Consider the following 12,696-nt stretch of genomic DNA (forward strand, 5'->3'; position numbering starts at 1 on the left):
CTGAAACCAAGAAAAATACTGAACTCACATACTTTCACAAGGACTTTGTAAGACAGCCTACAAATCTAGGCGAATGAAGGAATTTCCAAAATGGAACCATTCATGAATCCATTTTCTCCTAATTATCAATGGTGTCTGTGGCATTAGGGGCCTTTGAGGCATGATGACTCTGAGGGGCAAGGGTCAGTGGCACTATGGTGGATGGAAGCTTCACCAACACCCAATATTACTATCCTTGGTTGCCTTTCCCACAGGATATGAGAACTTCTGAGTCAGCTCAGAAAACAGCAGAAGGTGTTTGCTATCAAGAGGCCTCTCCTTCCAGGAAAGACAAAGAGAACAAGATAAGTGTTTATTTCCACGGCCTTCCTCTCTTGCCATCAAGTTTCATTCTGTATCTCCTCTCTTTCTGGTCTGCACAAATTAAGAAGAGCTAATATTTACTGAGCTTGTTACTCCAGACTTTAGCACCCTGTGCTAAGTGCTTTGCATGGATTTATGTCACCTGCTTCAAGCTCTGCAAGCCAAGAACTAGTATTACCGGCCCCATTTTACACATGAGAAAACTGAGGTACAAAGGAGTTAGGCGGCTTGGCAAAGGTCTCACAGCTTTTAGTGCAGGTAAAATTCTAAAAAGAATTCTAGAGCTGGAATTATTTGCTCCTATGCCCTCAGCCCTTCTCTGTGCACACCTAAGTTCTCTCCGGTTGCAACTGACTCAAGTAACTTAGTAGGGAAAGATGGGGCACTGATGGAACTGTCTTACACAGGCCAAAAAGTCTTGCCTGCCCAGATCTAAAATATACATGAGAGGCTTCAAAGCATCCTTGCCAGCAAAAGGATAATGGGGCAGGGTCTCCCACTGTGACATTACTCAAGGTACGGCTCAGCCAGATGCCTAACAGAACATGTATCACTGCAGGAGCCACAGTGGTTGCTTCCAGGAAGGCAACCTGGAGGCAGTCACCTAGGGCTATGGGCAATCAACTGGGATCATGCTGCTAAGCTCTTATTCTGCTCATCAGGATCCCCATTGCCCGCCTCAGACCAGCCCTTGGTCAGCCTTCTCTCTGGGTGCCAGTCAGCTTTGGTGGCTTCACCTCAAAAGCATCTGCTTTAGATGGCTTTGACCCTTTATTGGCTCAACCCCAGAGCCACTTGTTCTCTGAAGGCTTCTGGACTTTCAACCCCACCCACTTGTAGGCTGGTAACAGCAATTACGTCTTAAGTAGAATTTGTCCTCGCAGTGGTGGTCTGTAGCAAGTGCCAAGCAGACCATCTCTGCCTGCCAATTGGGAGATTCTTGAGGACAGGGTGTGTTAACCCAGCATGGGAGCTATCTCCATCACTCTATCATGGCCACTAGTGAAATAAAGCTGCCTATGGTGGGCCCTCAAATATTTTCAAACTGAGTTCCCCTCTCGCTCACCCCCAAACACACACACATACATACACTCACAGGGCTCAACTCAGGGGTCCTCTGTTTATTTTAATTGGCATCCCTACAGCTCAGATCCACTTGAAATGCAATTAAGAAATGGTCTTAAGGTTCCGAGCACTTATTGGTGTCAGTTATTTATCAGAGTAGCTGAGGACTTTGGAAATCAGATTCCTTGTGAGAAAGGGGACAGACAGAGAAACCTCACAGGTCCTTGGAGCCCAATGGAAGGGAGCAGAACTCCAGAGTTCAGAGGAAAAACCTCAGCTCGGGAGAAAAAGCTGTTGGCTTAATTTGAAGGGCTCCTGTCAAGCTGCAGACTAGCCTTAGGAAAAGCGGCTGGAAAGGAGAGACAGCCTCGCCATCAAAGTCCCCACCCCTCAAAGACGAACCTTGGCAGCGATGCTGCAAAGCCCCTCTCGACTTCTGGGCTTAGAGGAGTTCCAGTTCTGGGAGTGAGTTTGGTCTTGTTTTGGCGCCCAGGTGGCTGCAGCCTCCTCCCCTGGCAGAGACCACAGGCCTAGCTCTTTCCCACCCCACCCAACTCCCACCCCCTCCCACCTGCCCCCAGCAAAGGCTGGCCAGGAGGGCCTGGGCTGCCAGAGTAAAGGAAGCTTTTAGGGATGGAGGGGACGAAGCCAGTCCCTGGGATGACCTGGACCAGGCCCCAAACCACCGCTTCCTGTGGGATCCAGAAAGGGAAGGGAAGAGGGTGAAATGCAAGAAGACCTCCCCTCTTTATTTTTGCCTTTTCCCCATTTTGGACTTCTCAGTGGAATGTTGGCAGCCTCTTTTCTCAGGCTACTTTTTCTCTCCCTTGATGGCAAATCCAGTCTCACTGGCCGTCTTGCTCTGTGCAAATGCTGCATTAAAACTCTTGTTGAGGTGAGGTGGTGTTGCCCAGGTTTCCTTGGTGCAGGTGTTGCCCAGGCGTTTGCTCTGTGCTGCTCCTGGATCTCCCTCCTGTCCTCCCTAGTAACTCTCAACCATGTCCGCCCCCCTGGGGGAGCTTCCTTCAGTGCTACAGATGCTTTTTTTCACCCAGCCAACTGACTGTGGCAGACTCTTGTATCATCCAGAGACCACCACCGTTTGTCTTCTTTCCATCTATTTTTCCTGATTTTTTTAACCTGTGGCTGGAAGCCCAGCTAGCACCTATTTCCTGAGGAAGACTGTGGGGAGGGAGGTGAGCAAGTGGAAGCATTAGATGCTCAAAGAAAAGATATGTGCAAGGAGGAGCCACTGAGTCCCTCACCTGGGCCTTGGGCCCTGGGAGGCCCCTGAGGGCTCTAACACTAGCTGCTCCTGTTTTGCTCCCAGTTTCCCAGAGCACGCCCTGTGGGCTCTATCTAGGGCTGGAGATGCCAGTGGACAAGTGTACTAGCAGCCTCTGTGGTCCTGAGGAATGTGGATTGCAGCCATTTAGAACCGAGAGAGGCTAATGAAAGCTAGGGAAACATGAGAAGGGAATGGAAGGAGAAGACAGAATTTAAGAAAGAAAGAAGAGAGGAATGGAAAAAAGAAAAGGAATGGAAAAAGGAAACAAAGGGAAAGAAAAATAGAAGGGAAGTGGTGAGCACTGCTTCTCAGTTACTGAGACCTTGGCTGCACCTCTGTCTGGGGCATGTATCAGTGCCCCCCCCCACTGGCCTGGTTTCCCCAAGCAGCTTGAGCCTATCAGAATTTGAGGTACTGGCAGAGGACTAGGGGTCCTAGAACATGTCTTCTGAGCAAGCCAATCACGTCATGTATAGTAGAGCCAGGGTGGCCCACTGCCTGGGGCTTGAAGGCCTCAGCAAAGGGTTCCTAGCACAAAGCATCAGGGGGCCGGGTGGGAGGGTCAAGGGCCTGGAGGAATCAGCCGTGCAGATTGAAGGCCAGGTAGGGGTGGGTCTCCTGAACTCCTTTCTCAAACACTGATGTGTTGGATACAGCATGCTCTGGGCAGCCAGAGAGCAAAGACAAGAGATCTCAGAGTACAGAAAGAAAACGTGGTTATTGGGAGAAAGGGCTAAGAGACTGAGGGCCCTAGGGAGTGGAAGACCCAGAGCAGTGGGAGTTTGGCCAGATTGACTCGGGCAGAGGACGGAGGGACCTTGGGTTCAGCGTGAAGGTGGGAGAAATTAGTGGGAAGCCGTGGTGTTTGTCGCTTTAAGTAGTTAATATTTTCCCAAATGTTAATCCAATTTGAGGTTATTAGGCAAAGTGCCGAGAAAGGTTGCACATCAGAGTTATTCCAGTAAATCTCCGTGCTCTGGATGTGGGGAAAGATATATACATTGGCCCTCCACCCACTGAGTCCGCAGCTGCCCCCACCCCTCCACTATTAGAGAAGAAGGTGAACGGCTTTGAGTTTCCCTCTCCAAGGCAGGAGGTGGTTTTCTCTCTGAGCGTCTCCTCCCCTCTCTTTAATTCACTTTCCCGGACTGGAGCCTCAGCCTTGACTTTTCCTCCTGCACTCCCCAAGCCCCCACCATCGCCCCCAGCATCTCTTCGTCAAAGACAAATAAAGCCTAGCCTCCTGCCTGGGTTGACCGGTTCTCCGGTGGAGGGGAAGAGAGAGAGAGAGAGTGAGAACGAACGAGAACGCTGGCGAAGAGGAATGCGCTGCAAACCCGGGTGAACAGATGTGCATGGTGCCCTCACCCAGCCCCGGCATGGCCTAGACAACCGCTGCTCAGCCCTGCGCCCGTGAAATTACATTATTTTCTCCCCGGCCCAATCATCGTTTTACAGGAAAAAAAAATTAAATAAATATAAATTGCTGCTTTGCAAGATCAAAGTGCCGATTTCTGGTGCATCTGGAGGAGTGGGGAGATGGGGAGGAAAGAGAGGGGGAGAGTGGCGCAGCCGTGGTTGCCCAACTTCAAAGGGTTCTCAACAGTGCATTTTGCCATTGTATTTTAACATCTCTTCCCCACCAGTTTGGCAGGGTGCGCAGCGGAGAAGCGTGTAGCTTCAGAGTTCAGAGCTTGTGGAGAAACCTTGCTTTGACCATCTCTGAGCGCCCCCACGGGACTCAGAACCCTGAGGCTCTTCTAGAGACACCAACTTGCGGTGGTGGGGTGGGGGTGGGGAGGCGTGGTGAGGAAGAGTGGGGTGGGGGCTGATCTGGATCTGTAGAGTCACCAAATACACCAATAAACCGCAAAGAAGCCACCAAGTAGCCATGCCCCTACTCAAGCTCAAAGCTAGAAGGCTAGCTGAAGGCTCCTTGTCAATTTTCCCTGCGCTCAGGCTAGCTGTTCCACCGGAAGGACTGGGGGAGATTCAGATTATTTGGGAGACCTGGATCAGTATTAGGTTTTCAGAGGTTAGCGGGGTACAGAGGTTAGCGGGTTTCTTGATGGTGGAATTGTTTATTTGTGACCCGGCCACCTGGGCGACTACGTAGGCCTGGTACAGGAGGCAGGAGTTGCCTCTGTCCCCACTGCGCTTTCCTTAATCGAAGAGCGGGTAGATGCCGGCCAAGCAAAGTGCTCGAAAGTGTAGCTGGGACGCCCACGCCGGAAGCCTGGAGAGGCAAGTTGCGAGTTCGCAGGGCTTGGGAGTTTTTTGCGGCGGAAGAAGCTGAATCTAGGGGCTGAGTCCCCGGGAAGGGATGGCCGCCTCTTAGCTTTCGCCAGGAGATTATCTTGGAGCCCAGCGGCCGAGATTGAGAGCTCTTTCTGCGGAACCTGCCTCCGGAGTCAGATGAGCAAGGGGACCGCCACGTCCTCACCGAGCTCCCAGCGGCCTTTGGGGCGGGTCCGGGGACAAGCCGGAGGACTAGGCTTCTCCCAGAGCGCGGCTGTCTTTCCCGGAAAGACCCAAGTGCGCGATGTCAGCCCGCCTGCACTTCATCTGAGTTGTCCTTATGTGGCCATTTCTGTTTCAAATTTCAGATTTTTCTACTAAAAAAGGATGGGTTAAAACAGCTGAGAGCGCGCCTGCTCTTTCCCGCCCTGGGTTCTACATCTCTCTAGCCGCCCACCAGACTGCATCTCCAATCTGGGAGCTATCCTCACCTTGGGAGGGTGGGGCAACAATGTTATTCTCGTTTCCCGATAAGGAAACCAACGTCCCTACAACTTGACGTTAAATGGTCCCAGGTTCCTGAGCCTCAAATCTAGGACTATTACCTAGGTCACCTAAAAATTTTTGTTCTTTCCACTCCCCCGAGGGTGATTCTGTTAGCCTCGCAGGCCCTTCTCCCACCCGTCATTTGAAGTCATCGACCCCGGGGCAGCCCCAACAGTTCTGTGCGGGCCTGCGCGCACCGCCCTCACCTTGCGCGCCAGGCATCTCACCTCAGCCGGGCAGGTGCAGAGGTGACAGGCGCGGCAGCCGCGGTTCGTCCGGCCGAGGGGCAGGAGGAGGCTGGCCGCCGCCTTCTGCTGCCCGCAGGCTGAGGGGGCAGGGGAGGGGGAACAGGGCTGGGAAACTGCCGTCAGCGGGTCCCGGCCCCGCCTCCCGAACGCAACGTCCAGGAAACCTCAGAACTTTCTATTGTCTGAGAAGCTTCACTGAACAAATTGTCCCTAAAACTTTAGAGCTGCGAAGAGCGGATCAGGGCAGGTTCTAGTGTGGCCCTGTGCCCCGGAGCCTGCCTGCCATAAAGTGTGACCGGAAGCCCCCCCCCCCCCGCCCACTGTCAGAACCACTGAGGAGAGAAGAGCGCGGCGCCTTAGTGCCGCCCTGCGTCGTGGTCGGGAAGCCGAGCAAGCGGTGTGGACGCCCCAGGAGCAGGGGGATCCAGGCCTAAACTCATGGGTTCCGAATGGGCAAGGGAGCAGAATCAAGCATCGGTGGGCGCTTATAGAAAGCGCGTCTGTCTTGGAACACCCTTACCAGGGTACCCAACCCCAGCGCCAGGTTTCCTGGCCTTGCAAGGAGAGGTTGAATTTGTCAGGATTCCCCACTCTAGAAGGTGGCTCGTGGTGGTGAAGCTTCACCCTTCCTGGTCTGCACAGAAGTCAGTCAGTCTCTCTCTCTCTCTCTCTCTCTCTCTCTGTGTGTCTCTCTCTCTCTCTCACACACACACACACACACACACACACACACACACACACACACAGAGCACCCTTAACCTCACCCGGCGCGCTTGTGGGTAGATTCCCGAGAGGGTCAGGGAATCTCTTATTTTTCTCACAGCCTTGGGTGAGAAACCGGCTACCTCCTCTCAGGAAACACCCGGATGTGGGTGTGGACCAGAGGACTCACTGGAACACTGACTCACCACCTAATCTTGCACAAGTCTCTTAATTACAGAAACCACATTCCTATTTTGTCCAACTGGGGTGATTGGGGCAGCCTAAAGTTTCCTGGGAATGGTCCACTATGTGCTTGGGTGCCCACTTAGAGTACATCTGACACGTGTGCACATCTGTATTTGAATCCGACCACCTGAGCCCCGCTAACACCAGCGCACAGACCTACACTGTCTTTCTGTCCCTCCGGCTACTTTCCCTGCTTGCTGTTTCTGCTGGGTGATTAACGACCCCAAATAGTGTAAGGAATTCGACTTCTCAAGCTCAGCATTTTCAATTCCTTAATTTGTCCCTGGGTGACCGTTAGCAATTGTGGCTGTAGATCACATGGGGCGGACCAGGTAGAATGAGCAGCTGATTCAACACTGTTGAGTTGGGGTTTGGTTTTGCTTTTTTTAAAGGCGACTCAGAAAGTAGCCCCTGGAGAACTTCAAGAAGGCAGCAGGCTACAGGCTGTGGAGGTCCCTGCACTAAGATGCCTTTGGGCTGTCACCACTCTCGTTCTTTATAAATATTAAAGTGCTAGCAACTAGCAAAGCCCTTCTGGGCCGTAGCCTCTGATGTGGGTGGGGCAGGCAGGTGAGAAAACTGAGGCTCAAAGGTTTCCTGCTTCCAATCAGAGGTCTCAGTAGGAGAGCTGCACTCTGGGTTTCCTGTTTCCAGTGTGGATCCTGGGGTATATTTTCCTGGGAGCCAACAGGGAGTGTACTGGGAAAAGGAGAAAGTACTCACAGCAGAACTGCTCCAGAGGCAACCATAGTTTGACTTTTTTGTAGTTGTTTGGGTTAGAAACAAGTTAGTCCTCTCCATTGCCCATCTCTCCCCTACACATGCTGAGTCCTGATCATTGTTCTATCTCATTTAAAAAAGGAACATTGTCTCTCCTGATGGGCTGGGTATGAGATCTGAAACATTCCAGGTTGCCTCAACAGCTGCTACTAGTTTTTGTTTTTGTTGTTGTTTTTCAAAGTGGGGCTTTAAGTGGAACTTTTAAAATACTTTTCTGTCCCCATCACCCTCCTGATTAAGCAGACAGTGGTTCTGGGGCCAAAGCCTTTAGAGATGACTCCCTTCATGGACTTCTGGTACTCCCAAAGTATAAGGAGGAGAATAAGAGGAGAGGTGGAGGAAAGGAAAAGGAGACAGAGGAGAAAGAGAAAGGGAAGAGTCTTTATTTGTTCTGTTTGCTTGGGTTTTCCGGATACAGGAGACTGATTCTGCTCTAATGGGGAGAAATTAGCTCCTTCTCTCCCCTGCAGCAACTGGGGCACTGCTAGCTGCTCCTTCCAAGCTTGCTATCCCTTAGAAAGGGTCAAAAAGGGTCTGGGCCTGGGGCGGTGGCTCACGCCTATAATCCTAGCACTTTGAGAGGCCGAGGCGGGAGGATCACCTGAGGTCAGGAGTTTGAGACCGGCCTGGCCAACATGGCGAAATGCCGTCTCTACTAAAAAGACAAAAATTAGCTAAGCGTGGTGGCAAGAGCCTGTAATCCTAGCTACTTGGGAGGCTAAGGCATGAGAATCGCTTGAACCCAGGAGGCGGAGGTTGCAGTGAGCCAAGACTGCGCCATTGCACTCCAGCCTGGGAAACAAGAGCAAAACTTCCTCTCAAACAAACAAACAAAAAAAAGGTGGGGTGGGGGCAGGGGGGTTGTGTGGTCTGGGCAAGGTGGAAAGAAGAGGGTATCAGCATCCTCTAGGTGGCAGCAGGCCTGGCTAGGGTCTAGAAGAAGACCCTCCAACTCCCTCAGAGGGATGAAGACCTGGGGTCTTCTGGGTGGCGAGAGTGAGACCCACTAAGCTCCAAAGTCCTGCCACTGAACTCTTCTCTCCGAGGTGCCAGGTTTGTAGTTTCTGAAGTCACACTATTGTGATTAAATGCATGATTTTGTAAAACACACATAGACTATGAGACTAGTCTTAGCTAGAGTGAGAACAGTGACTTCTGTCCTTTCTGGAGCTGGCAATCCCATCCCAAATTAAGACTCTAAGCTTTTCTGAGAAGTTCAGCCACTCTGTGAAAATGCTGACTGAGGCTGAGGTGGGCTAACAGGGGCGACCTGCCTGTCTGCAGGCCTGTGAAACCCAATCAGTATACCCCCTAGAGAGAGTTGCAAAGGAATGTACGGGTGTGCAGGATGAAATCAGCCCAAGAACCTTTATAGAAACATGAATGTGATCTGTGAGGAAAGCAAGGATGTAACTAAAGCGATGCATTTGCTTTTACTGGCTGACTGACAGGCTTTGGTGGGGGTCGGATAATTTTACCAACCGGTTTCAAAGACCTAAGGCCCTGGCAGAGACATGGGGGAGGGGGCTACTCAGGAGAACTAGAAGACAAAAAGGAACAAATAAAAAAATCTTCCTATATTCCATGCACACAATTCTTAGTCACATATGTATTACATATGCACATACAAACTTATTTAGTTTAAAAAGAAAACCCTTGCCTTGAACAAAGTAGATATGCACATAAGTTCATGCATTCCCTCAGCAAATAATCATTGAATGTCTACCATAAACAGGGCATTTTGCTAGGCTCTCTTTTGTAAATATGTGTATGAGTGTGTCTGTGTCTGTGTCTGTGTCTGTGTCTGTGTGTGTGTGTTGTGTCCGAGTACACATTCAACCAGCAAACTCCAATTTGGCTTCATAGCGGGTTTGTGACACAACTCAGAACTCTGAGTGATGGGACTCAGACTTCAGGATACACACACACTTTGGGTCAATGCCAGAGGTGGCAACAAGTCTGCTGGTGCCCTAGGAGTTCACACTTTTCCTTTTGTGCAGTTGTGGAAGTGGAGGGGGAATAGCCTTGAGCTCCAACTTCCAGCCTACTACCTTTGGGGATAATGCTGAGAAGCAAAATATGTTAAATCCTTTTAAAATAATGCTTTCCATTCCTAAAGTCTGTTCCTCTTCCAGAATCATTCTAAGGAGTTTGGAAATAACCGGGCAACCAATGGATTTCTTTTCAATGACTATGGCATTGAAGAGACTGACTTAAGGCAATTTCCATAAGTGTACACTTCAACAGTATATACACACACAGGCACATGTATACACAAATATACACATGACTATACAAATTTACTTACATAGAATGTAATCATACCTAGAAAAAAAGTAGGATGGAGTGGGGAGGGTGGATTTAGTTTTCCTTACTTTTGAAATTCAGTAACTCCACAAGTAGACTCAAAATATCACTTAGTTTAAAAAATTTTATTTGACAAAAATGATATATATTTACCATGTATATGTTGTTTTGAAATATGTGTACGTTGTAGAATGGCTAAATTGAGCTAATTATCATGCATTACCTCACATACTTTTTTTGGTGTGTGTGGTGAGAACATCTAAAATCTATTAGCAATTTTCATGAAAACAATACATTCTTGAAAATTGCTAACAACAGTCACCATGTGATACAATAGGTCTCTTGAACTTATTCTTCCTAACTGACCAGTCACTTAGCTTTTTAACAGTCATTTTCATGTGCCCTTACCAACTTATCTGCTATATCCGTGTAACCAGGCCAGCAGACACTATCCCAGCCTTGTAGCAGCAAATGACCCAGTTGCCTGTGGCTTCATGGAATAGTCGGTAAAATCCAATCCATACTTCACGGTATGAAATGCTCAGACTCTCTCCCTAGCGGAGCTAGTGGAAGACGCTCAGCAGCCTTAGCATAGGAATCTGTAGGTACAAGCACATTCCTGGACGGCGACTTTGAATCCAGGCCAAGAAAAGAGAGGTACACCAATATTGGGATTCTGTATTTTGGGGGTCTAATTGGTGAGTACAGAACAAAGGAGTGGAGAGGAAGGCAAAATAACCTAAGTAATAGAAAATCCAGCCATAGACTGCAGTGGAAATTAATGGCACGAGAAGCCTTGGGGGCAAAGGTAAGGGGTCGCAGTTGAATGCCACCCGAACTCATCCAGATGCCGCTGCGTTCAAGCTCTCCCAGCACCCGCGGCCGAAGTAAATAACAATTCTCTTAATGCTAAGGCAGCAAGGAGAGGGCACTGCGAACTGCAGACTTTTCTTCTAAGGATGAAGAGGACATTATAAAACTGCACACTACCTCCCTAATGGCCCATTCGTCCTAGCTCTGTCTAGTGAAGTAGAGAGCAGAAAAAAACATCTAGCTCTATCAAGTTGAAAACATTTTCACATTCACCTTAAACTGGTGAAGCAAACGGGTTTTCCCTTTACTAACATCGCTCTTGTTTTTCCATTTAGTCTTTGGGAACGTAGCCTCAATCTTAACCGCGTATGATCGTTTCCACTGCACCTGTGCGGGAGAGACAGGCGCATATCCCCGTGGCGTCGGATCTCTAAATTATCTAATCTGGCGGCTGCGTACGACTCAGGGAAAGCCCTGGCCGCGAGCTTTTTCACCAGGCTTGAGCTCAGCAGCCGGGCCCGCAGTGTTGCCGCCAGTGGGGAGGCAGGGAGGCTGTCGGCGCGCCGGAGCCAGGCGGGAAAGGGACTACAGCCGCCCGCCGTTGTAGCGCAGGAAGCGGGCGGTGCCAACACACACCTCGCAGCTCTGCACGTTCTTCGTGTCTTGGAGGAGAGTAGAGCCTCCGTGTGAAGCTCCGTCCGCACCTGACGAAGAGGAGGGCGTCTTGCGCCACTCCAGCGACTCTGCGATGTTAAGACGCAGACCCGCTGCTGCGCCTGCCTTTGTCGGGGCGGGCGGGCAGCCGCCGCTCGGAGCAAGGTGGGGCTGCGGGGAGGGAGAGCCGCGGGGCAGATCCCTGGCCAAGGTCCTCTAGAAAGCCCGCTCTGCGCCCAAACGCGCCGCTCGGTCCGTGGGCCACTTCGGACCTGACGCTGCCGGTGAATTCACGCGCTCCGGGACGCGCGGGGACCTTTGACGAGGTTTTTGAACTGGGGATCGTCCCCTGTAACCTGGCCGCGTTACCTCCCCAGGTGAGCCGGACTCGCGGGTGGGTTCGGCAGCCGGCGATGTGGCAAAAAGGCAACCTCGCCTTATTTCTAGGGGCTTGGAGATGAAGAGCGGCTGAGTGTCCCCGTCTACCCCAACCCGGGTATTACCCTCTTTTCCGTCTTCTAGAAGGGGAAAACCATGCTGTTTTGAATTCAACATATTTAGATTCTGAAAATCGACGGCCCTTCCCTTCTTTCCTAGGAAGGCCTGCCCCGTAGGCACAACCTTCGGAGAAACGGGCGGCGCGTGAGTTCCCTGGAGCCGCCTCCTGGGCATCCAGGCTCCTGTCGCACGGCTGGTGCGGCGCCCACTGGGCGTGGGGACTGGGCCCAAGGCTCCCGGGACCGGGTCGTGGTTAACGCCGAGGCCAAGCCCTTCGAAGAACTCTGAGTTCTCTGCCTGACGTTTTGTCCCTCAGGAAGTGTCCCTTCCCGACTTTTGAGGGTGTCTTGTTCTTTGACGGGGTGGCCCTGTGGGGGAGGAAGGAGAAGTGTTCCTCCACTGCTGTTCTGTGGAGCGGGACCTGGCTTTGTTCGGCCTCCCTGCTCTCGGGAGCCTGTACTCCGGCTCGCACGCCTGACTGCTGGCCCTGGCCGCTGCTCGGGCCCCGCGCAGGCACACGGGACAAGGCGAAGCCCCGACGCCCAGAGGGCGCTTGGGCCCAGCACACCCGCGCACAGCCCAGGAAACGGGAAAGGCCACTGTCTGCTTCCCTTTCGCAGATTCTATCCGCTGGCACGCGAAGGTCACACGGGCTCTCAATGCTAATTTGGAATGGGAAGCACCACGAAGGGTTGAGGTAGCCTGGTGGCCCTGACTGCGCAGGGTGCGGACAGTGAGCCCGTATCCAGCTTCGCTGCCACGCGCCTAGCAGCCCGGCGGCCCCGGCCCGGCCCAAGGAGGAGGCAGGCCGCCTGGGTCGGCTTCCGTGGCCTGGGGGTAAGCTCTGATTCACCCCAAGGTGAGGTCCCCGGGGATGCCCAGATTCGGGCCGGGAAACGCACCGGGAGAGAACCACCAAGCGCTCTTGGTTATGAACCAGAGCTTATA

At 51.7% G+C, this 12,696-nt stretch overlaps 1 long non-coding RNA gene across 2 annotated transcripts, besides 1 other annotated feature; it reads right to left on the reverse strand.

Annotated features, from left to right (window-relative positions):
* Positions 1–4,781: 4,781 nt before the first annotated feature.
* On the reverse strand, positions 4,782–5,843 carry LOC105378933 (uncharacterized). 2 transcript variants are annotated; one of them, NR_135035.1, is made up of 2 exons: positions 5,728–5,843; positions 4,782–5,331 (listed from the first exon to the last, which is right to left on the reverse strand). It is a non-coding gene; the product is annotated as an uncharacterized LOC105378933 (long non-coding RNA). The 2 variants fall into 2 exon arrangements; NR_135034.1 differs by having other exon boundaries at positions 4,782–5,328; positions 5,707–5,843.
* Positions 6,085–6,908: an enhancer, noted in NCBI's record as "H3K4me1 hESC enhancer chr1:119544270-119545093 (GRCh37/hg19 assembly coordinates)". NCBI's record gives its function as "activates a minimal SCP1, AML or CMV promoter by ChIP-STARR-seq in primed H9 embryonic stem cells {active_cell/tissue: H9 hESC(primed)}" and the evidence as "EXISTENCE:reporter gene assay evidence [ECO:0000049][PMID:30033119]".

Source organism: Homo sapiens, chromosome 1 (genome assembly GCF_000001405.40).
Source record: "Homo sapiens chromosome 1, GRCh38.p14 Primary Assembly".
NCBI classification, from domain to species: domain Eukaryota; kingdom Metazoa; phylum Chordata; class Mammalia; order Primates; family Hominidae; genus Homo; species Homo sapiens.